The 26,016-nt window shown below is 37.4% G+C and overlaps 1 protein-coding gene across 3 annotated transcripts in view, besides 2 other annotated features; it reads left to right on the forward strand.

Moving 5' to 3' along the window:
• The window catches only part of KYNU (kynureninase), a 178,170-nt gene that overhangs the window by 113,647 nt on the left and 38,507 nt on the right, over positions 1-26,016 (forward strand). The window lies entirely within an intron of this gene.
• Positions 14,412-15,049: an enhancer, noted in NCBI's record as "H3K27ac-H3K4me1 hESC enhancer chr2:143763291-143763928 (GRCh37/hg19 assembly coordinates)". NCBI's record gives its function as "activates a minimal SCP1, AML or CMV promoter by ChIP-STARR-seq in primed H9 embryonic stem cells {active_cell/tissue: H9 hESC(primed)}" and the evidence as "EXISTENCE:reporter gene assay evidence [ECO:0000049][PMID:30033119]".
• Positions 15,050-15,687: an enhancer, noted in NCBI's record as "NANOG-H3K27ac-H3K4me1 hESC enhancer chr2:143763929-143764566 (GRCh37/hg19 assembly coordinates)". NCBI's record gives its function as "activates a minimal SCP1, AML or CMV promoter by ChIP-STARR-seq in primed H9 embryonic stem cells {active_cell/tissue: H9 hESC(primed)}" and the evidence as "EXISTENCE:reporter gene assay evidence [ECO:0000049][PMID:30033119]".

Consider the following 26,016-nt stretch of genomic DNA (forward strand, 5'->3'; position numbering starts at 1 on the left):
TACCAGAATAAGGCCTTCTTGTGCAAAGTTTGAGACAACAGGAAGCATAGGTCGCAGTAGCAAGATGTGTGACTTCACAACACTTCTGATGCTTTCAAATGAGATAGACCAGTACCAATAGATTTCTCAGTGAGTTTTTATAGAATCCCCAGTTGAAATATGACCTCGGCCTTCTGAGTCACCTGTTCTGCTTGTTTAGCCTGTATTTAGCCAGTGTTAATATGGATGACTTTCCAGCTACAACTTCTTGGCTTCTCAGCCATATATAATTGGCTATCTCCTTTGTCTTTAATATTTGCCTCCCACATCTCTAAACTTCTGTGGTACCGTTTTCTTTTGCTTCTGCTCCAATGGATGTGAGAACTCTTCTGTATTTTAAAATGTTTACTTTTTCACCTTTTCATTGATTCTCTCAAAACCTCAGTCCTTAATCCTCTTGCCCAAAAGTATCTCATCCACAGTTATTTCAACAATATACAACTGGTGTAGAAGAAACGAACTTTTATTTCCAGCTTTACCACTTGCATAATTTTTAGCCCTTATTTTCATCTGATTGCAAATTGCAAGAGTTTGTCATTATTCAAACATGATCTCAGTCCCCAAAGATATAAGGAAAATATTCACTAATAAACTCCCTGCTTGTAAAATTAGTCCTTACCTGAACATCATTTTCCAAGTAGCAGCATCTATCTCTATGAATTACTCTACAAATTCTTAGTATCTTGCTGATTATATAATATCATAAATATCAGATAATACAGTGAAAATATAATGAAAATGATTTTAAAGTAAGATTTTTCAAGGGAGATTCAGGATGTCATGATGCAAGTGAATTTGGAAAACTCCTGAATCACAAAATCATGGCTAATGATAATATGTCAGAGCAGTTAACAGGTGAAGTAGAGGACATTTGACAATGTACTTCAAAAGGAAATAACTGGAATATCAGGCATTCAAGATAAATGATAAATGCCTCACAAATCTATGTAAAAATTATCTTTAAGGTCATGCTGAGAAAGTTAAGTATACTATAAAAGGGATGATATTTTGCTACCATATCATTTTGTCAAGAAATATACCAAAAAATCAACACACCTTATCCTTATTCTTAATTATTAGAATATTATAATTTTAATCTATATTTCTCCAAATCATATATTAAATTTTAAAAATAATTTTAAGCTCTATATTTTAAGATAGCATCTCTGTCAAACCTTCTGCCATTGACTTTAAAATTGATTTATTTAAGTGGTTTTTTCATATTTTCATTTGTCATCAGATATTAAGGACTTTGGATATGTCTGTATATGTGTGTGTATACATACACACACACATACATCTTTCTATCTCAGAAACTAAATATGGTAAAACTTGCATTTTATCTCACATAGGTATCTTTCTAAGGTAATCTTCACTTTCTCATGTAAAGAGAATGATCCTGAGTTTATTAAAGAGACATGAACAAACATAACCAACCAATATTTTTGTGCAAAAAGCTTTCATAGATGAAAAATAAATATAGGCTATTGCCTGCGATTTTAAAATGTTATAATTCATTTGGAGATATATCTTTTAACCAGTTAAATAAGTGATTTAAGTCACAGGCAACCCAAGCTTAGAATATGTGCCATAAGGCAGCCTCTGATTAATTACTGGGTGAATTCTCAGACTGCTTTTGCCGTAGGGGCAGCGGAGGTATAGCAGACTGACTCAGAGCTGCTTGGGAAGAGCTTGAGCAAGGAGGTGGGGAAACTCACAGATACGAATCTTCTGTAAAATGGAATGCAATACTAACTAAGTGAATAAATTTACTTTGTTACATTGAAAACTAAAATTGTTGCCTGTGAGAGAGATTCATTTCAGAAGTTCCATAAATTTAAGGGGATATAAAAAAGAAGAAAGAATTACTTAAATGGCATTTCTTAAAGGAATATGCCAAGTGATCTTTTCCTTTTTATTCTCCTCATTAGAATTTTTATGGAATTGGAGTTATTGACTTAACATTTTAAAGCCTGCCTCATTATCATAAAATTGTTCTTTATCTTTCAACAATATTTTAGCCATTATAAACAGTGGTAAAATCGTGATTGCTTTAAGCTCTCCCTTCGCTCTGGGAACACACTCTTGAAGTGGGTTACACCTGTCATCAGTCTTAGTCCTCAAATGGTGACTGTAAGGGACCCAAAAGTAGACACACCACTTGAAGAAAACTCATCTGTGGAATCATGACATACAACCTAAACCTATTTTCATTTAGAAACCATTTTAGATCAATAATTTTTAAAGGATTTTTTTAAAAAATCTTCCTGGCTTGACAATTTTTACTGTGTGAAATTCTCCAGATAATTTTCTTGTGTAGGGAATTTAAGCTGTGATCATAAAAATAACTTACATGCATTGAGGCACGAGCACAGTTAAAAATAAATTCAGTAAATAATCTGTATTTTTTTAACTCCAGAGATGAAGTAATCCTAGATCTTAAAGAAAGCCAAAATAGTAATTATCAGTATAAAAACATACATTAAAGCTATTCTTGCTTGTAAATCGCTACTCTCAGATAATGATGAAATAGTCATTAATTTGAGAACACTGAAGTCCTTTGAAACCTAAACATTTATTTTCTGTTCTAAAACTGCAGTCCAGTGTCTCTGAAGATATATAGGGTCAATGAACCTTTCAGGCATAAAAAGTAAAACTTGTCAAAGAGCTTCAGCTCTTGTTTTAATTACTTCAAGTTTTAGCCCTAAAGTAACCTTTGAAATCTGCAGGGACTTTATTTTTTTTTCTTACTATTAATCGTGAAGAGCTATTGCTACATTTTCATGTGTTCTTGTTTAGAACATACATGTATCCATCTGGCTTTTTATGATTTCCAAGCAGACAGGGTGGAAGTTTGTTGTAATAATCCATGCTGTGTGAAGCAGCATTGCGAGCTGCCTCAGCAACACAGACCAGGTACCAAGTCCTGGTACTTCCAACACTGAGGCAGGCTAACTTCACAGTCTACACAAGAATACTTGGAATATATTACTCACAACAAACTTCTAAACCACGTGATCCATATTCTCCATGTTCACCTGTTTTGCTCTTCAAGAGGAGAGAATTTGATTGGGTGGGAATTATTCTTTTGTCCAGAGCTAGCATCTATTGTCCTCATGACCAACTCATGTATAGATAGCTTGCTTTGTCTCCCATATCAGTCCCTGCTCCAATCAGCTTTGGTCAGGATTTAAGAAGATTTCGCACAAGCCATGGCAATTTAGGCAGAAAATAACCATGTGGCACTATGTTTTTTAAGGGCCCAATGATCCCTATGAAAATTCATTTTAGCATGTCTTATATGGTTGCTTAATAAGTTTATTATAGATTGAAATCTTAATTCTAAATTCTTTGAGTCCTGGGACATTGTCCTGTTAATCTTTCTTTACTTTCATAATCTACAGTGCCCAAGAAAGTATTTTTTAAATTTTTGTTGTTGAATATATGGCTCTGTCTTTACTCTCAGCATAATAGACAAACCATCTTCTAGCATATGGAAGCATTTCTACTTTGCAAATTATTCTGAAGCGGGTATGATTTGCAAAATACTGTCAAATTAAATATGCATTTCCATATGCTTCTATGAAGACCAAATATATCCATGAAAACTAGCTACAGACAACTTTAAAATCCTTCATGAATTTTTAATCAACATTGATGAACAAAATTCAAGTCGTTCTTTCTAAAGTCCTAAATCTAGAAAACTTTCTGTTCTTGGACTTGGAGCATCGGTATTAACTCAAAGGATTATTTTACCAATATTTCAAAATAATAAGATATTTCAGAAAAGTATATTCAGAAAATGTTCAAAGGCTTTTTTGTTACTAATAGTCTCATGCCAAAAAACATATTGACTTAGCTCTTATAAGAACAACATATTCTGAAACTTTAGAAAACAATTTTTATTAACTAAAATTTATCATTTCTGGAAGTGCTTTTTTATGACTATGCTTATCATACTGTTAGCTTACTGGACATATTAGAACAAGCCTCTTACAGAGTAAGATTTGAAGAGGTAATTGAATATGTAACAGAACCAAGTGAAGCACTAATATTTACAGATGGGTGGGCAAATGAGAAGAAAAAAATGAAACTGAATTTTATGATACATCCTAAAACTACTTTCTAAAATAGCATTAAGTCAGCTAACTTCGAACAAAGCAGAACAATTGTGATTAGATGAATATTTTATTAAACTAGGAATTGATAGAGATCTTTTTAAACTAAGAGTATGTTAGCAATATTGTACCTGTTTAATGGCATGGCATGCCATGCCAAGCCTTCTAATGGGCATGCTTGGGGACCAGTTGCTGGCATCAAGGGGTGAATGTACAGTTTATGAGCTGAAGCAATCTACTTTCTCAGTTTTCAACACTTTTTCTTTGTCATTAGTACCTTTGAATCTGCTTTTGTCACTTAGCCATACTTTTGTTTTTCCTACCGCTATGCTGATTACCAACTGCCTGGATTTAGACTCTGTTTGCTCCTTCTCTCATTGTTTTTTGTTTTGTGTTGTTTTGCCCACTTGTTTTGATGCATATCTACTGTTTTGTCTGATTGTCATTTTATAGGCACTAGTTCGGTGTTCTCTATATGTGCCTGAACTACTCTTATTTCTGAACTCAAATATCTGCTTGCACTGTACCAAACGTGTCTCTGTTTCCTAAGCCTTTCTTCTCACTACACATGGTAGTCTAGCAACATTAATGCCCTACCGTGGGAATATGGCTGAAGATCTTGACTAGGGGACTTATGAACCCATGCAGCCGTGCCCAAATCCTACCAAACTGACCTTACTTTCTTGAAGACGGAATTGTAGTATGGTCGAGCTCATGCTTTTTGTAGTAGGCCATCCAAATTCGATTGACTGGCTAAAAAAGATTGTTAGTGGAGGCTGGAAGAAACATTTTGGCTGATGATAGATGAATAGAGCTTGGAACAATCAAAAGGAAAAGCAGAAAGTCTATACCTATTCATAAGAAAAAGTTAGTATGTTTACCGAACATTATGAAAGAATTATGACATTTTCAAAGTTTTAAAATTTTATTTTGTAGGGACGGGGTCTCATTGTGTTGCCCACGCTGGTCTGTTTCTTGAGGATTTACTATAGACTGGGCTGTATTCAAAGCATTGGGGATACAGGCATGAATGAGCCCCCATTGTCCTGAACTTACCATTCAGTCTGGGCAGTGAAAGAAGAGGGATGTTGGGAGAACCTTACAAAGATGAAATGTAAGCTAACTGGAGAAATCCCCTAACTTTCAGTCAGACTGAAAGGGAACAGGCAGTAACTGTGGGTAGCCCTCTTGGGCAGGGTGATTTTCCACATGTGCCAGTCAGGGGCCAGAACATTAAGATCCTTATGTTCCAACTAAGGAATTTTGATTTTATTTTAAAGACAAAGGGGAGCCACTGACTGTTCATGAGGAACAAGATTACAAATTCAGGTCTCTTCACCTCTCATTAAGTCTTGGTTTGCCTGTGGAAAAAATAAATAGACCCCAGTGATCTCTGGAAGATTCTCTTCCAGCTTTCGAATGCTGTCATTCTCAAGTGATAAAAATGAAGCATCACAATTGAGTGAACTGCTGGTAGTGATAGCTCAGAAACTAAAACCAGCTTGATGGAAATCTGAGCATCACCGGCTATATCAATAACTTCAGTGACCCTCCTTTCCACTCCTTTCTGTAATAAGTGCATGCAGTAAAGTACAGCCAGTTCAGACAACTTGATAACAAATTTGCTATAACATTCTTATCTTTTTCCTTTTCTCAAGTATGAATGAGTACTATGTATATATTTCTTAAACTTCAGTTGCTAAAGTTTTTACTGTGAATATTAAGACTATATCAAAGTTATTTAAATGGATAAATTTCCAATTGTTCTCTAAACAAAACAAGATTTGTGGAAGTTTTGACTCTATGAACCCTGATTATTTAATGAGGAAAATAAGTAACATACTTCAGATTAGGTTATAGAGGATGCTAGGATGACAGACATTCTAACTTATCCCAAGTTGTTATTACAGACTTTGTTTATTTTTAGAATAAACAATCATGCTGTACCCAGCATGTTCCATGTTTTTGCAATGCTATGACAATTTGTCTGATCAGCACATTTTTTAAAGCCAAGGAAACAGTAAGACAATTATATTTCATTTTAAGTTATAGCCTTTAGGAAGAGAGAGAAGAGGAAAAGAATGTTCGCATTCCTGAACACAAACTTAAATTATTAAATGTATGGTAATAAGTTGCCAAATTAAAGAAACTTATGACAGCAGTCTTCTATGAAAATGTATGTTCTTAAGAAAGATTGTGAACTATTTTTATTATATTTTGATTTGGTGCCAAAGGGGAAATTGTTCTTTAACATAAGCTAAGAAACAGATGTTTGTTGTTTAGTTTTTGTGAGGTTGAGGTGAGAGATAAGGGGTTTAAAGGATAAGTTAATGAATGACATATTTAGGAATTCATATTGAGCATTTTGCTATTAAAGACTTGCTGAAGAGATCAAGGAGAGTTTGGATATTTCATTTCATAACTCCTCACATCCGAAATCATATTCACTAGATCCCCAGTGGCTTTCTCTTACTGAATCTGAGTATCATGCTTCAAAGATGTCTTTATGATAAGCGATGCTTTCCATTTGATAACATTTATTTGAAACTACTTTTTTGGAATTTATGATGTTCAAAGAACACACAGCATATTAATATGTCTGCTTTTATTATTTACTGGATCTCTTCCAACACGTTACTTCTCTCAAATTCTGTTTATATCTCCATTCTTAGTAAATTAATTCCCTTTTTGATTTTTAATTTTTGATGAGAAAACATTTGAATTTCTAGTCCAAGCACAAGGAGATTGTATCTTAATTGTTATTGTTGACATTTAGTTTTTAGGAATGATTTATGAGCCCATTGTGATAATAGCTACTTATAAACTAATTCAGTGGTTTTTAATTTTACTTCATTAGCTTTCAAATATTTGCTTTTTAAGAATCCAAGATTTCATTACGATTGCATTTCTTTTGTGTTTGGATTTTACCTTTCCTACATTCCAAGTGATGGATCTTAAAATGAATTTAACTTCCTCCTAGATTCTGTGCAATGTATTTCGTGTTTAAATGTTGTTTTGAAATAATCATTTCTTTATTTGCTTTTTAAAAGGTTTTAAACAGCGCTTATTTCTGTTTGTAAAGACTTGAACTTGTAACAGATGAGTGATATGCTTACTCAAGTTCACTAAATCAAGTGTCTAGGATCATGCATTTTGAAGAAAGGCAACTCCTTATAGAGATTCTAAAAGAATAGAGAAGGTCAAAAGAACATTTGTTTGAGGGAGTGGACATTGTATATACTAAAAAGAATAGCTTCTGTGACCAGGCGCAGAGGCTCATACCTGTAATCTGACACTTTGGGAGGTTGAGGAGGGCAGATCACAAGGTCAGGAGATTGAGACCATCCTGGCCAACACAGTGAAATCCCAACTCTACTAAAAATACAAAAAAGTTAGCTGGGTGTAGTGGTGCATGCCTATAATCCCAGCTACTCGGGAGGCTGAGGCACAAGAATCACTTGAACCTGGGAGGCTGAGGTTGCAGTGAGCAGAGATCACGTCACTGCACTCCAGCCTGGCAACAGACTGAGACTCCGTCTCAAAAAAAAAAAAAAAAAAAAAAAAAAAAGAATAGCAGCTCTGCCATCTTAGCCTATTCTAGTCTATCCTAGCCTAGCATTCTGCCAGCCCCAAACCCGGAAGTAGTCTGGAGAACATTGCTTTTATTAAATCACTGGTTCATTTTTAAAAACCTGCTCCCGATGGTTTTGCATTTTCTGTGAATATCCTGGGTCATGATGGTCTATATCTACATTTGGACTTTAACAATAAATAACTGTGGAATCTTAGACTATTTATCAAGAATTTTAGAGCCTTCATTTCCTCCTTTGTATTATAATGTGGATAATGATAGTATAATTCATAGGATTATTTTAAAAATTAAGTGATTGCTTTGAATGGTGTCTGGCTTATAATAAAATCTCAATTAACATTTCTTTTTGTTGGTCTCAATATTATTAAAACAACTAAAAGAACCTAAGTGGAAGAAAAATCACACATGCTCTAAGTTAAACTTGTTTGATTATTTTTATAAGACCTTAGCTGAGTGTTTGAGGAGTCATCAATCACCTAGGGTCAAGTTGTGAGCTAGCAATTGGAAGATAATATGGGAAACAGGCTCTCTAATATTGTTTTACTAAATGTAATTATTTTTTATTTTCTTATTTAAATTAGTAATGTTTTTCAAAACTTTAGCTAACCATGTATCAGTATGGGCTGTTACATTAAAAATGTAATATCATTGATGTTGTTCGTCATGAAAATATTCAGAATAGCCTGAAAAATGTCATACATCATAGAAGAGAGCCAACATGTCTTTATTTCACAAGGGGTATGGGTAAAAATAAATTTTAATAAGACAGAAATCTCATCTTCTTGTTATAGTAATCCACTTAAATGATTAAATTTCTTTTATCAAATGATTAAATTTCTTTATCAAATGAACATGTAGAGCATTCATCTTACCAAGTTGCAATTTTTTCCAGAGGAGATAACATTTAGAATTTCATTAAGATTGAAGATCAAAACCACCAATTATTAAAATAACAAGGTAATTATTAATACTCTATATCCAAATAAAGACATAAAGGAAGAAAAACATCATATGAAAAATTAGTGACAGTCCGAAATAATTAGCTACCAATGGCCCCAGGACTTTATAGCACATATAATACGAAATATTCCCTCCCCTACTTTTCTGTTGCTACATGGCAGAAAACTATGTGAGTCTGTATTTATGACTGGTTGAATTGTTTTGATGAATATTTTATTTAAGTAATTGCTATGACCACTGAATTCAATGATATCACTGTTACATCGAGATATTAATCTTTATGCCATGTTTTACAGAAAATTGTATTATTTTCCACATCCAGAGTACTCTGACTCCCTTTACTACTCATTGTTAGAGAATTATAATATAAATAAACTCTATAAAGAGCAACTATTTTCTTTATTCTATTGATCTTACTCTTATTGAGGTCAAAATAGAATACAGAGACAAATCTCTAAATTTAACATTTTATTTGTGAATCACAGAATTGCAATTTGGGGCACACATACAGATCAGGCAGTCATCAGCATGTCTAAAGAACAAAGAAAATGTTGGGGTATTTATTTTAAAGAAATGTTACATATCCTTTTGAAAGAAATCTCTCTGGCACTAGAAAAGCTTTTGGAAGCTGGCATATCTCTAACTGGTGAGTGACAGTGGTAGGTAAAACTAGTCTTAGTTATAGCAGGTATTTCAGCAGATACTAAGTGAAACTGGGCTTCGGGTTACAGCAGGTAGTTTCAGCAGCTGGGCTTGTGGAGAAGTCAATTCTTGGAGCAGTGCTATGTGCCCTGGGTGCTTTTTTTCCTCTGGCCTTTAGACTTTGATTTAGGTGAGTATGACAAGAATGACCCAATTTGTATAATCAGCATTCACCCTCTTCTCCCCTTGTAATTGCTTCAATATTCATGTCGATAAAACTGAAACATCTTATCTTGAGTCTCTGGTTTCATATCCTTCAGTGTTTCAATCCACTTATTGCCTCACTCATGATGGGATATGTCAGCACTTTGTCTTCCTTAAGTACTGACTATGAAAATATCAGACACCTAGCTTTGACTCTATTTTCCTTCTCTTCATTCTTTCTATCTCACTTTGTCCCCTGGATTGTTACTTCTTGGTGTGGAGTCACAGATCCTATCTAGGCAAGAGGGAGTGAGTTAGACAAAGGCATGAACACTAGGAGGGCACTTTAAGAGTCTGCCTACCACAATTCCATTGAATATACTTAATTACCCCCTACCCCAGCCATCCTCACACCCAATAGACTTTAAACTATTGGACAGGGATGGTGGGCAGAGACAATGCCTGTTTTGTCTTATGCTGTCTCTCTCGGGCTTCTAGCAAATTGTCTCATTAACTATTTTTGGATTATTAATAAGTGAAACATAAGAAAACTCTAATAAGCCTCCAAAAAGAAGGATAATTTAATCAGGAGCATAAACAATAGATATAGAGCCCTTAGTAACAAGTATCAACTGTAGAGTTGTTAAACCATTTTGCTTTACTCAGCCCTACTTTTCACCTCTGCTCTTCCATTCAGTTTCCAGGGACCGAGCATCTCAGCTTCTGCTTTCCTGCTGGCTTGTTAAGATACTCAGTTTTACTCCCTCCTTCAACTTTGTTCTGGTTATGCTATCTTGATCACAGCTTCTTGCTTGTGGTCAGTGTTCCTGATTATTTATTGAGCAGGACATTGGCTTAACTAGCTGTGCCCCTTTGGATGAGTCACTCAACCACTTTAAGCCATACTTTTCTCAAATCTAAAATGGTAGAAAGAATATCTACCTCAAAGTGGTGTTGTAAAAATTTAAGTGAGAATACAGGAAATGACTATGCCCATTTCCCAGCAAACATGTCTTAGTTTCCATCCATTTTTCCTTAGCAGCTAGATGTGCAGAAGCTTTGCTAAACTATTCCTTTTGAACAGGATTTCTTATTGGCACAGGAGCCAATAATTTGATTCGCCAGGCCATTCTTAAATGTTCTATGGGATTTTATAGCTTCCATACAGGGGTAATAGATCCACAGGTAATGGGGATGGGGAAAGACAATGGATGGCAAACAATTAGAATCTTCGGTGGAGCTGGTTCAAGGTCCAGGTGCTCTCTTTGTGTCCTTTGTACAAAGCTGGCGGAAATATATAATTTCTTAAGTGAATAAATGCAAAAAAGAGATATTAGCATGAAATAATGAGATAGGCAACTTGGAAATTCTTTCTTTGTAAACAATCATATTGTACTTATACTTTTTCAGATATAAAGCACTTTTGTAACTTCAGTAAATAAAACATTAATAAAACCCCAATGTCTTGACCACAGTTACGGAATCAGTTCTGAGTTCTTTTTTCCTAAGAACACATTTTACTCTTCGTGTAGTCCCTTGTTTCTTTCATATTTGGGTTATGAAAATGTCATCACTATTTTCAAGCACAAGTTATTATTTCCTCCTGTGATACTGTTTGAACGCTAGGTCTTTGATGTTTCTGTCAGATATACCCAGCAATCATCATCATAACTCATACTCTTGAATTTTTAATATCACTCCACACACAGAAGTGTCAAGTACCCAGTTCTTTAGTGAATGCACAAAAAATGAAAGAAAAGTTTGTTAAATAAGAAGAAAGATTGAAATACTGAAATATTCCTCCTGATTTTTGTTTTGATCCCATTGAAAATAAATGGGAAATACATGTTGCTATTTTTTTCATTGCTCTGTCTCACAGCCACTGTTTGCATCAGATTTTTAAAAAAGAAAATGCCAAGCAGTACATTTTGAATCAGTTTCCACAGAAAACATTATGTGCATAAAATTTCATATATTATCTTTGATATGTAAATATAGGAGAAATAAGTTTCTTTGGTAAATTTTAGCATTTCTTCTTTTCAAAAAATAAAACATAAAATAATAGTCAATGGCCCTATGGTTGTAAACTATGGTGAATGCATCTGATTCATTTATGCTAGAACTCCTTCCTTATTTCCTCCTTTTTATGCAAACATTATCTTACCAGCCTTAATGGGGGAGTCACAATAAGTTCCCCTCAGTACTCAGCACAGGGCCATCCATGCTTGCGGAAAGAATGGGCTTTGAATATACATCATGATAAACATTAGTACATTAAATAAGCAATTACTTTCTAAGATGATTTTGTTTTTCTACACAATTTAACTCATTAATATAGCTCAGTTATCTGTTCAAATTAACTTAAGATAGCTGTCCAATCCTGATTCTGATATTTAATACAAAAACACTTCTTTACAGCTGGGGGGGGTGGCTCACACCTATAATCCCAGCACTTTGGGAGACCAAGGCAGGGGAATCACCTGAGGTCAGGAGTTTAAGGCCAGCCTGGCCAAGATGGTGAAACCCCGTCTCTACTAACAATACAAAAAATCATAATAATAAAATAAAATAGCCAGGTGTGGTGGCGGGCACCTATAATCCCCGCTATTCAGGAGGCTGAGGCAGATAATTGCTTGAACCCAGGAGGCAGAGATTTCAGTGAGCTGAGATCACGCCACTGCACTCCAGCCTGGGTGGCAGAGTGAGACTCTGTCTGAAAACAAACAAACAAACAAACAAAAAACACTTCTTTACAAGACTTTGGTATTCATACTTCAAAATTTTGTCATTAATTTTGCTTGTCTACAGAAATTTGATTTTTTTTTTCTGTAAACCAGATGATATGGGTTAGGTTAGGGTCTAACTGGAATATGAAGGAAGGAGTAGATAACAAGGCCATTTTGAAGAATAAACAACAAAATTAATAACTGATAAGACTCAAAGAGAAGAGGGAAATAACCTAATGGTGTCCAATTCAGGTGTCTAAAACTACCTAACAGAAAGAGTGGAGCTGATGAATAAATATAAAGAACGCTGTGTTTGACATATTGTGTTTTGGGCAGAGGCAGAACTAGAGAATAGGGCTTCTGACTTCTAATCGAAGACATTCTCCTATTACTTGATTAAGATCTTCCATGAACAAACATCACTTTCATTTACTTTAAACTTCCAGAAGACAGATTACTTAATATGCCTATCATTTTGACTAATTCATGAAAATGTAACAAATTCATTAGATGATAGGCTTCTACATTTCCTTCCCCATGCATTAATTTTCAACTGTAAGGTTTAAGATGAATACCAGATATATTCAAGTAGGGAGGGAATCTAACTAATGTTTACAATAAGCTTACCTTGACAGGCACTGTGCTAGAAACTTCACACTTTGTTTAACCATAGGCCTATGAAGTTATAGATGAATAAACTGGTGCCCAGCTCTCTACTGGTAGAAAGTTGTGGGATTGAGATTCAAGTCTCAGGTCCAGTAAAATCTTCCTTGTCAGCTCTCAACATGGATAGTTCTAAATGTGTTGAAGCTGCTAGAGGAAATAAAAAATAAAGGCAGCCTGGAATGGTTGCTCACACCTGTATTCCCAGCACTTTGGGAAGCCGAGGTCAGTGGATCACTTGAGGTCAGGTGGTCGAGACCAGCCTGGCCAACATGATGAAAACCCGTCTCTACTAAAAATACAAGAATTAGCTGCGTGTGGTGGTGTGCGCCACCACTCGGGAGGCTGAGGCAGGAGAATCACTTTAACCAGGGAGGCGGAGGTTGCAGTGAGCCAAGATGGCACCACTGCACTCCAGCCTGAGTGACAGAGCAAGACTCTGTCTCAAAAATAAAAATAAAGGCAATATTCATTTTTCCTCCCGAGCATACAATACTATCTTTACTATCACCAATGTTTCCTAAATTCTAGTTAAACTAGGTACTACTAACTTAAGCACTTAGAGTGATGAAATCATATCTCATTAGGTGTCACCTGGAGGGAAGTTAATCTGCCATCACCAGTATCTAACCCCCCTCTACTAACGGGGTCACTAGTATTATTTTCATTGGTTGGGTGCCATCTGATCCAATGCATCACCAATCAAATCACCTCAAGGCTAACATAAATTGTGTTTTCTCTAAATAAAAACCAACAAAAATATCTTGCCCTAGCTTAAGCTAAGAGTGAGGCTTCCTGATAAGTAGGTCATCCAGACTCTAGGGATATGTTTTCCCCATGTTGGATGGAAAGATCTACCCTGTAGTGGAGATGTGAGGTATTTGACAAGTGTAATAGATGATTCAAGTCTGACACTAGCAAATTCATTAATACTATGATGAGACTGCAGTCACAGATGGAGAGATCAATCCTTCCCCCAGGCACTGTCTAACACTGCTTTAAAGGGTAGAAAGCGAAAATGACCTACCTGGTTGTGTCTAAAGTTTGCTTAGGGCAGTCACATTTCACTTTAAGAAGTACCTGTAGAGCTCTCATATACCAGGTTCCATGTTAGGACCTAGGCATGCAAAGAGAAACAGAACAAGGCCCTGCTCATAAGAGTTTCCAGCGACCTAGAGAAACTGGAAAGAAAATAGTCTGGCCCTTTTTGTCAACAAGTCACATGTGCATCTATAATAGGAGTGAGAACTTGACGAAAAAATAAGAAGAAAGGCTCAGTCATATGTCAGTAAATTTCCCGGGAAAGCAGAAGTATACAAAGTTGTATGTTTGCAATAGTATAAATATATATAGCATAAAATAGTATAAATATACAAACCTTGTATATTTGAATAGTACATTATTTCCCAAGTATTTTTGTTATGATTACCAAAGAGAAAAAACCTGGAACTATTTAGGTTGGTGCAAAAGTAATTGTGGTTTTTGCCATGGAAAGTAATGACAAAAACCACAATTACTTTCGCACCAACATGTAATATTTCTGGGTAGAGAATGATAGATTATTGGTTTACAAAGACCAGTCTGAATAGAAAAGGATGGAAAGCAAGGTAAAGTTTGCTGCAGTCTAAAGCTACAAGTACACATTGCTTCAGTTCATGCTGTGTTCCAACAATCCATGGAAGTCCTCAGAACCCAAATCACTGAAGCTGTAAGTAGAGTCTAGAATACTAATGGCTCTGGGAGGAAATATCCAAAGTCACTGCTGATTCAGCTAGAGAAAATACACTGGAGGGAGGAGCCAAGATGGCCGAATAGGAACAGCTCCGGTCTACAGCTCCCAGCATGAGCAACGCAGAAGACGGGTGATTTCTGCATTTCCATCTGAGGTACCGGGTTCATCTCACTAGGGAGTGCCAGACAGTGGGCGCAGGCCAGTGGGTGCACGCACCGTGCGCGAGCCGAAACAGGGCGAGGCATTGCCTCACCTGGGAAGCGCAAGGGGTCAGGGAGTTCCCTTTCCGAGTCAAAGAAAGGGGTGACGGACGCACCTGGAAAATCGGGTCACTCCCACCCGAATACTGCGCTTTTCTGATTGACTTAAAAAACGGCGCACCACGAGATTATATCCCACACCTGGCTCGGAGGGTCCTACGCCCATGGAATCTCGCTGATTGCTAGCACAGCAGTCTGAGATCAAACTGCAAGGTGGCAGCGAGGCTGGGGGAGGGGCGCCCGCCATTGCCCAGGCTTGATTAGGTAAACAAAGCAGCCAGGAAGCTCAAACTGGGTGGAGCCCACCACAGCTCAAGGAGGCCTGCCTGCCTCTGTAGGCTCCACCTCTGGGGGCAGGGCACAGACAAACAAAAAGACAGCAGTAACCTCTGCAGACTTAAATGTCCCTGTCTGACAGCTTTGAAGAGAGCAGTGGCTCTCCCAGCACGCAGCTGGAGATCTGAGAACTGGCAGACTGCCTCCTCAAGTGGGTTCCTGACCCCTGACCCCCGAGCAGCCTAACTGGGAGGCACCCCCCAGCAGGAGCACACTGACACCTCACACGGCAGGGTATTCCAACAGACCCTGCAGCTGAGGGTCCTGTCTGTTAGAAGGAAAACTAACAAGCAGAAAGGACATCCACACCAAAAACCCATCTGTACATCACCATCATCAAAGACCAAAAGTAGATAAAACCACAAAGATGGGGAAAAAACAGAACAGAAAAACTGGAAACTCTAAAACGCAGAGCGTCTCTCCTCCTCCAAAGGAACGCAGTTCTTCACCAGCAACGGAACAAAGCTGGATGGAGAATGACTTTGACGAGCTGAGAGAAGAAGGCTTCAGACGATCAAATTACTCTGAGCTATGGGAGGACATTCAAACCAAAGGCAAAGAAGTTGAAAACTTCGAAAAAAATTTAGAAGAATGTATAACTAGAATAACCAATACAGAGAAGTGCTTAAAGGAGCTGATGGAGCTGAAAACCAAGGCTCGAGAACTACATGAAGAATGCAGAAGCCTCAGGAACCGGTGCGATCAACTGGAAGAAAGGGTATCAGCGATGGAAGATGAAATGAATGAAATGAAATGAGAAGGGAAGTTTAGAGAAAAACGAATAAAAAGAAATGAGCAAAGCCTCCAAGAAATATGGGACTATGTGAAAAGACCAAATCTACGTCTGATTGGTGTACCTGAAAGTGATGGGGAGAATGGAACCAAGTTGGAAAACACTCTGCAGGATATTATCCAGGAGAACTTCCCCAATCTAGCAAGGCAGGCCAACGTTCAGATTCAGGAAATACAGAGAACGCCACAAAGATACTCCTCGAGAAGAGCAACTCCAAGACACATAATTGTCAGATTCACCAAAGTTGAAATGAAGGAAAAAATGTTAAGGGCAGCCAGAGAGAAAGGTCGGGTTACCGTCAAAGGGAAGCCCATCAGACTAACAGCGGATCTCTCGGCAGAAACCCTACAAGCCAGAAGAGAGTGGGGGCCAATATTCAACATTCTTAAAGAAAACAATTTTCAACCCAGAATTTCATACCCAGCCAAACTAAGCTTCATAAGTGAAGGAGAAATAAAATACTTTACAGACAAGCAAATGCTGAGAGATTTTGTCACCACCAGGCCTGCCCTAAAAGAGCTCCTGAAGGAAGCGCTAAACATGGAAAGGAACAACCGGTACCAGCCGCTGCAAAATCATGCCAAAATGTAAAGACCATCAAGACTAGGAAGAAACTGCATCAACTAACGTGCAAAATCACCAGCTAACATCATAATGACAGGATCAAATTCACACATAACAATATTAACTTTAAATGTAAATGGACTAAATTCTCCAATTAAAAGACACAGACTGGCAAATTGGATAAAGAGTCAAGACCCATCAGTGTGCTGTATTCAGGAAGCCCATCTCACGTGCAGAGACACACATAGGCTCAAAATAAAAGGATGGAGGAAGATCTACCAAGCAAATGGAAAACAAAAAAAGGCAGGGGTTGCAATCCTAGTCTCTGATAAAACAGACTTTAAACCAACAAAGATCAAAAGGGACAAAGAAGGCCATTACATAATGGTAAAGGGATCAATTCAACAAGAAGAGCTAACTATCCTAAATATATATGCACCCAATACAGGAGCACCCAGATTCATAAAGCAAGTCCTGAGTGACCTACAAAGAGACTTAGACTCCCACACATTAATAATGGGAGACTTTAACACCCCACTGTCAACATTAGACAGATCAACGAGACAGAAAGTCAACAAGGATACCCAGGAATTGAACTCAGCTCTGCACCAAGCGGACCTAATAGACATCTACAGAACTCTCCAACCCAAATCAACAGAATATACATTTTTTTCAGCACCACACCACACCTATTCCAAAATTGACCACATACTTGGAAGTAAAGCTCTCCTCAGCAAATGTAAAAGAACAGAAATTATAACAAACTATCTCTCAGACCACAGTGCAATCAAACTAGAACTCAGGATTAAGAATCTCACTCAAAACCGCTCAACTACATGGAAACTGAACAACCTGCTCCTGAATGACTACTGGGTACATAACGAAATGAAGGCAGAAATAAAGATGTTCTTTGAAACCAACGAGAACAAAGACACAACATACCAGAATCTCTGGGACACATTCAAAGCAGTGTGTAGAGGGAAATTTATAGCACTAAATGCCCACAAGAGAAAGCAGGAAAGATCCAAAATTGACACCCTAACATCACAATTAAAAGAACTAGAAAAGCAAGAGCAAACATATTCAAAAGCTAGCAGAAGGCAAGAAATAACTAAAATCAGAGCAGAACTGAAGGAAATAGAGACACAAAAAACCCTTCAAAAAAATCAATGAATCCAGGAGCTGGTTTTTTGAAAGGATCAACAAAATTGATAGACCGCTAGCAAGACTAATAAAGAAAAAAAGAGAGAAGAATCAAATAGACACAATAAAAAATGATAAAGGGGATATCACCACCGATCCCACAGAAATACAAACTACCATCAGAGAATACTACAAACACCTCTACGCAAATAAACTAGAAAATCTAGAAGAAATGGATAAATTCCTCGACAGATACACTCTCCCAAGACTAAACCAGGAAGAAGTTGAATCTCTGAATAGACCAATAACAGGAGCTGAAATTGTGGCAATAATCAATAGTTTACCAACCAAAAAGAGTCCAGGACCAGATGGATTCACAGCCGAATTCTACCAGAGGTACAAGGAGGAACTGGTACCATTCCTTCTGAAACTATTCCAATCAATAGAAAAAGAGGGAATCCTCCCTAACTCATTTTATGAGGCCAGCATCATTCTGATACCAAAGCCGGGCAGAGACACAACCAAAAAAGAGAATTTTAGACCAATATCCTTGATGAACATTGATGCAAAAATCTTCAATAAAATACTGGCAAACCGAATCCAGCAGCACATCAAAAAGCTTATCCACCATGATCAAGTGGGCTTCATCCCTGGGATGCAAGGCTGGTTCAATATACGCAAATCAATAAATGTAATCCAGCATATAAACAGAGCCAAAGACAAAAACCACATGATTATCTCAATAGATGCCGAAAAAGCCTTTGACAAAATTCAACAACCCTTCATGCTAAAAACTCTCAATAAATTAGGTATTGATGGGATGTATTTCAAAATAATAAGAGCTATCTATGACAAACCCACAGCCAATATCATACTGAATGGGCAAAAACTGGAAGCATTCCCTTTGAAAACTGGCACAAGACAGGGATGCCCTCTCTCACCACTCCTATTCAACTTAGTGTTGGAAGTTCTGGCCAGGGCAGTTAGGCAAGAGAAGGAAATAAAGGGTACCCAATTAGGAAAAGAGGAAGTCAAATTGTCCCTGTTTGCAGATGACATGATTCTATATCTAGAAAACCCCATTGTCTCAGCCCAAAATCTCCTTAAGCTGATAAGCAACTTCAGCAAAGTCTCAGGATACAAAATCAATGTACAAAAATCACAAGCATTCTTATACACCAACAACAGACAAACAGAGAGCCAAATCATGAGTGAACTCCCATTCACAATTGCTTCAAAGAGAATAAAATACCTAGGAATCCAACTTACAAGGGATGTGAAGGACCTCTTCAAGGAGAACTACAAACCACTGCTCAAGGAAATAAAAGAGGATACAAACAAATGGAAGAACATTCCATGCTCATGGGTAGGAAGAATCAATATCGTGAAAATGGCCATACTGCCCAAGGTAATTTACAGATTCAATGCCATCCCCATCAAGCTACTAATGACTTTCTTCACAGAATTGGAAAAAACTACTTTAAAGTTCATATGGAACCAAAAAAGAGCCTGCATCACCAAGTCAATCCTAAGCCAAAAGAACAAAGCTGGAGGCATCACACTACCTGACTTCAAACTATACTACAAGCCTACAGTAACCAAAACAGCATGGTACTGGTACCAAAACAGAGATATAGATCAATGGAACAGAACAGAGCCCTCATAAATAATGCCGCATACCTACAACTATCTGATCTTTGACAAACCTGAGAAAAACAAGCAATGGGGAAAGGATTCCCTATTTAATAAATGGTGCTGGGAAAACTGGCTAGCCATATGTAGGAAGCTGAAACTGGATCCCTTCCTTACACCTTATACAAAAATCAATTCAAGATGGATTAAAGATTTAAACGTTAGACCTAAAACCATAAAAACCCTAGAAGAAAACCTAGGCATGGCCATTCAGGACATAGGCATGGGCAAGGACTTCATGTGCAAAACACCAAAAGCAATGGCAACCAAAGCCAAAATTGACAAATGGGATCTAATTAAACTAAAGAGCTTCTGCACAGCCAAAGAAACTACCATCAGAGTGAACAGGCAACCTACAAAATGGGAGACAATTTTTGCAACCTACTCATCTGACAAAGGGCTAACATCCAGAATCTACAATGAACTCAAACAAATTTACAAGAAAAAAACAAACAACCCCATCAAAAAGTGGGTGAAGGACATGAACAGACACTTCTCAAAAGAAGACATTTATGCAGCCAAAAAACACATGAAAAAATGCTCATCATCACTGGCCATCAGAGAAATGCAAATCAAAACCACAATGAGATACCATCTCACACCAGTTAGAATGGCGATCATTAAAAAGTCAGGAAACAACAGGTGCTGGAGAGGATGTGGAGAAACAGGAACACTTTTACACTGTTGGTGGGACTGTAAACTAGTTCATCCATTGTGGAAGTCAGTGTGGCGATTCCTCAGGGATCTAGAACTAGAAATACCATTTGACCCAGCCATCCCATTACTGGGTATATACCCAAATGACTATAAATCATGCTGCTATAAAGACACATGCACACGTATGTTTATTGCGGCATTATTCACAATAGCAAAGACTTGGAACCAACCCAAATGTCCAACAATGATAGACTGGATTAAGAAAATGTGGCACATATACACCATGGAATACTATGCAGCCATAAAAAATGATGAGTTCATGTCCTTTGTAGGGACATGGATGAAATTGGAAATCATCATTCTCAGTAAACTATCACAAGAACAAAAAACCAAACACCGCATATTCTCACTCATAGGTGGGAATTGAACAATGAGATCACATGGACACAGGAAGGGGAATATCACACTCTGGGGACTGTGGTGGGGTGGGGGGAGTGGGGAGGGATAGCACTGGGAGATATACCTAATGCTAGATGACGAGTTAGTGGGTGCAGCGCACCAGCATGGCACATGTATACATATGTAACTAACCTGCACAATGTGCACATATACCCTAAAACTTAAAGTATAATAAAAAAAAAAAAAAAGAAAATACACTGGTTGTCCCCAAAGCGGAGGGTGTCCCCAAGTTGGAGGTTCTCCAAAATACAAAATGTTTCCTGCGACAAAGGAGAACAGAAGAAAGCAGCTATCTCAGAAGGGGCTCTGGACCAGGCACGATGACTCACGCCTGTAATCCCAGCACTTTGGGAGGCCGAGGCGGGTGGATCACCTGAGGTCAGGAGTTCGAGAGCAGCCTGGCCAGTATGACATAGCTCCATCTCTACTAAAAATACAAAAAGTTAGCTGGGCCTAGTGGTGCATGCCTGTAATCCCAGCTACTCGGGAGGCTGAGGCAGGAGAATGGCTTGAACCCAGGAAATGGAGGTTGCAGTGAGCCAAGATCATGCCACTGCACTCCAGCCTGGATGACATAGCATGACTCCATCTCCAAAAAACAAAAAAAAAAAAAAAGAAAGAAAGAAAAAGGGACTATGGAGTACAAAGGCCCATGTGTCATTTCCCATAATATTTTTCATATTTTTGTTTTATTTTTTACTGTGTATATTTAAGGTCTATAACATGATGTATGGGATACATAGAAGCAGTAAAAGGTCGCTGTAGTGAAGCAGATTAAGATATCCACCTTCATGCAGTTACCCATTTTTTTTCTAGCAAGAACAGGGAAAATCTACTCACTTAGCTTGAATCCCAAATATAATACAATTGTACTACCCATAGTCCTCATGCTGTACATTGGAGTTCTGGACTTGTTCATCCTGCATATCTGCTACTTTGTGTCCTCTGACCTACCTGTCTGCATTTTCTTCCCTCACACCTGTCTTTGGTAACCACTCTTTTGTTCTCTATCTCTGTATATTTGAATTTTTTTTAGATTTCATACATAAGTGAGATCATGCAATTTTTCCATGTCTGGCTTTTTTCTTTCTTTTTTTCTTATTAATTTTTTAGAGACAAAGTCTCACTATGTTGTCCAGGCTGGAGTGTGATGGCTATTCATAGGTGCTATCACAGCACACTGCAGCCTTAAACTCCCAGGCTCAAGTGATCCTCCCACCTCAGCCTCCCACGTAGCTGGGACTACAAGTGTGTACCACCACACCTGGCTCTGGCTTATTTTACTTAGCATAAGGTACTCCAGGCTCATCCATGTTGTGGTAAATGGCAAGACCTTATTATTTTTTAGGGCTAAATAATATTTCTCTCTCTCTCTCCCTGTCTCTCTCTGTTTCTCTGTCTCTTTCTCTGTGTGTGTGTGTGTGTGTGTCCATCATATTTTCTTTTCCACTCATCTGTTGATGGACACTTAGGTTGATCCCAAATCTTCACAATTTTTTGAATATGCTGCAGTGAACAAAGGAGTGCAGATATCTTTACAAGGTGCTGATTTCATTTCCTTTGGGTATATGTCCAGAGAAGGAATTGCTAGGTCTTATGGTAGCTCTATTTTTAATTTCTAGAAATTTGATAGTTTTAAAGAAAAGTTGCATATATGAATGTTATCAGGTCTTGAATTTAAATGAGCAAATAATTTTATTTTCTTTGTTTTTGTCTATCTGAATTTAATTCTATCCTGAACCCACATCTGTTTCTTGAAGGAAATTTGGTCTTGTAACTTCTAGGTAAGCTTAGTGACTTTTGTTGTTTTTCTCAGTAAATTTGGAGTTTAAGTTCTGTTGGTTCAGCATTCTTTTCCTTTCCTCCACAGAATGACATTGCAAAGGTAGATGATATACAGAACACTCAGGCATAGGTAAGGGAGAGGCTTCGGACCCACAGCCATCTCCTGGAGTACATTGAGATGTGCTTGTACCCTTTTGGTCAACTGCTCTCATTACCATTACATTCTCCAAGATGTGTATGAAACTGAAATGGCCTCATGCCTTTTATCCCAACCATCCCAAAGCTCCATTGGAGACTTGGGGTCTGTCAGTCACTTCTATACCTATCCCTGGGGGAGCAGGAATTTCAAAATAGTCTCTTGCGTCTTTAGAGGATATAGTATGAACCTGGGTTTTAAATGGAGGTGCTATCACACACAGGTCCATTCTCCTAACATTCCTACACAAAGATTATGGCACCAATTTGGGGCATGAAGAAATTCTTTACAAACCTTTGGACTGCCCCTTAGGGCTGAGGGAACATGGCTCAGGCCATTTCCATCATCAGATCTTCTCAAACATATGTGGAGTTCCCACTGACCTCTCAACCCTCCCAGCCTCATCCCTTGGATTTTATCTAGTGGTATGGAGTACAACCTGGCTAAGTATTGGGAACCTGAATCAGGTATGAATCTCATCCTTTTCTGAGGCTTCTCCTTCCCCAGCAGGAGCAAATTTGGTTTAATTAATGGGTTAGATCCATTGTTTCTTCAGTTTTCTTTTATATGTGCTGTTTCTGGCATAAATTTTATGCTGGGCTATATGTAACACATGATTTGAGATCAAACATGTCTACTGCAAATCAAAAGTCTTGGCTTTTAGAGAGAATTGTCTCTGCTATAAGTTTCAGAAGTTTGTTTTGGAACTCAAAGCTAAAAATTAGAATTTTTGTTCTATATGCACCGTTTGGTGTTCTCCACTTAACAAATGATCCTGAAGCAATAAAATGTATTGATTCACTGTGGAGAAGAAGAAAGTTACGGGAGACCATTTATAAATGATGAGCAAAATTCTTAATACATTTAAAGTTTTATCACCTCAAACATTTTCCAAACAATAGGATATGAGTAGTTGTCTCTGAATCCATACAGTTTTCAAATCAGAGGAATGACAACATGAGATTTAATATAACATAGAAAAACAGGGACAGATTTAAAACTCATCAGGTGTTTGTTTATTTGTTTTTTGGGTTCGTTTAGAGACAGGGTCTGGCTCCGTCACCCAGGCCGGAGTGCAGTGGCGTGATCATAGATCACTGTAATCTTGAGTTCCTGGACTCAAGTGATTCTTCCACCCTAGTCTCCCAAGTAGGTGGGACTAAAGGTGTGTGCCACCATGCCTTGCTATTTTTTTGTTTTTTAAGAGACAGATCTTCCTATGTTGTGGAGGCCAGTCTCAAACTCCTGCCTTCAAGCAATCCTCCTGTCTTGGCCTCTCAATTGATGATAAGTTTTCTAATCAGATTTAGTGCTTTTCTGGAAAAATCATTAGACAACAATTCTGAAGCTAAATATTAAGTGTGTGCCTAAAAATTTAGCAAACTTAATGGAAGAGGTCCTCAGAACTCTTTTAAGATCAAACAGTTCAATACTAAAAGTAAAAATTTGAATGGAAAAAGAGGGTGTGGGGAAACCAAATTACCTATCCTGTATGCATATTGGAGGTGGAATGAACAGACCAGGGGCATCATGCAAAATTCTCAGGCGCCAAGTAGAGTGAATAAGTGTGTGGTAATTATTCACAGTGTCAATGCATACAACTGAAAATAGGATCAGTACTTAAATGCTGGATATAATATATTATCAGGTCAAGACTCATGACCTGATAAAGACCATCTGTATGTCCTTAAATGTCCTTAAATGCTAGATGTAAGCTTGGATATTTGTTTATGTTTATGTGAATGACATTCCTTCTTTCTTCCTGGGTTTTTGTCCCTCTTTTATTTTGTTCTGTTTATGGAGATGAAGTTCTGCATTAGATAGGATCAGTGAAATATAAACATAGATTTGTGAGCGTATAAATGAGACTACCCAAAACATTTCCCCTCAAATTAAGACTTTATATTTTGAGACACACTGGAATCAGTGACGTCAGTTTGGAAGCTCAGATTTTCCTAGCAACAAATAGTGTGGCTTAGACAGAACGTCAGTTTCAACAGTGAAATTCATTGATAGGTTCTTTGAATTTAACTCAGTGGCTCAAGTTCAGTTTGGAGTAATGCCGGAGGCATGTCTTTGCCCTAAGAATAGTCTATTTCCTCACACCTGAAACATATTCTTATCTCCTTTCCTTTTTTTCTCCAGACTGTTCAAAATCTGTCCTTTAGCTGCAAGTCTAAACAACAACCAATTCTAGAATATAGTTTTCTCTAAACGTTCATTCTGTTGAAATATTTTAGCGAGTTAACACTTAAAATAAAACTTGCTCTGAGGCTTTGAAAAGTGAAAGTGGACGTCTGTACAGATAAAGTATCAAGTTTATTACTATCATGTAAAATTTTACAGTCAGTGATTATTTCCTTTGGAATAAGATTTATGTACTTCACCTCTGAGGCAAGACCTCATATTCAGCTGTATTTCAAATTCTGTTTTTCACATAGATGCACATTTCAATATGTTAATATGTAATTTAGGAAACAATTTGGTTGTCTCTAATAGGATTATAAAATTCTCTCTTTCATGTACACAATGCAGGTTGAGAATTTTCTCAGTGGACATGAATTTTTTTAAATCATTACCAGAAAAGTCTCAAGTACTTTATGCCTGTCTTCTAAATCAATTCTTAATAATTTTCCAAGTGAAAATCCATTATGATTAGCTTGACATCTCATACAAACAACTGTGTCAAAATTTTTTTCTCCCAGTTTACCCCCACTGATGTAGTTCAGTTATATGAACTGCTGTTTATATTAGATTTGAGAAGGGTTCTGACTTGTGTTCTAACCATACCAAAAAGAAAATTAGAACTTTTTATAATTATGACTTTATGGTTTAGTTCCAGTTTGTTTATTTCTTATTTTTTATTTTTATAACTTCACCTTTTATTTTAGATTCAGAGGGTACCTATGCAGGCTTATTACCTGGGTATATTGTGTGATGCTGAGGTTTGGGGTCCTACTGATCCCATCACCTAGGTACTGAGCACAGTACCAGTAGTTTTTCAATTCTCAATCCCCTCCCTCTCTCCTCGCTTTAGTAGTCCGCAGTGTCTGTTGTTACCATCCTTATGTCCACGTTCCCATCTTTATGTCCATGTTTAGTTCCTACTTATCAGTGAGAACCTGCGATATTTGGTTTTCTGTTGCTGCATTAATTTGCTTAGGATAATGGCTTCTAGTTGCATCCATGTTGCTGAAAAGGACACGCTTTCATTCCTTATTATGACTGTATAGTATTCCATTGTGTATATGTACCATATTTGTTTTATCCAACCCACCATTAATGGGCACCTCGGCTGATTCCATGTCTGTGCTATTGTGAGTAGCTGCAATGAACATACAAGTGCGTGTGTCTTTTTGGTAAAATAATTTATTTTATTTTGGATATGTACCCAGTAATGAGATTGCTGGGTTGAATGGTATTTGTAAATTCTTTGAGAAATATCCAAACTGCTT

This window comes from Homo sapiens, chromosome 2 (assembly GCF_000001405.40).
Source record: "Homo sapiens chromosome 2, GRCh38.p14 Primary Assembly".
NCBI classification, from domain to species: domain Eukaryota; kingdom Metazoa; phylum Chordata; class Mammalia; order Primates; family Hominidae; genus Homo; species Homo sapiens.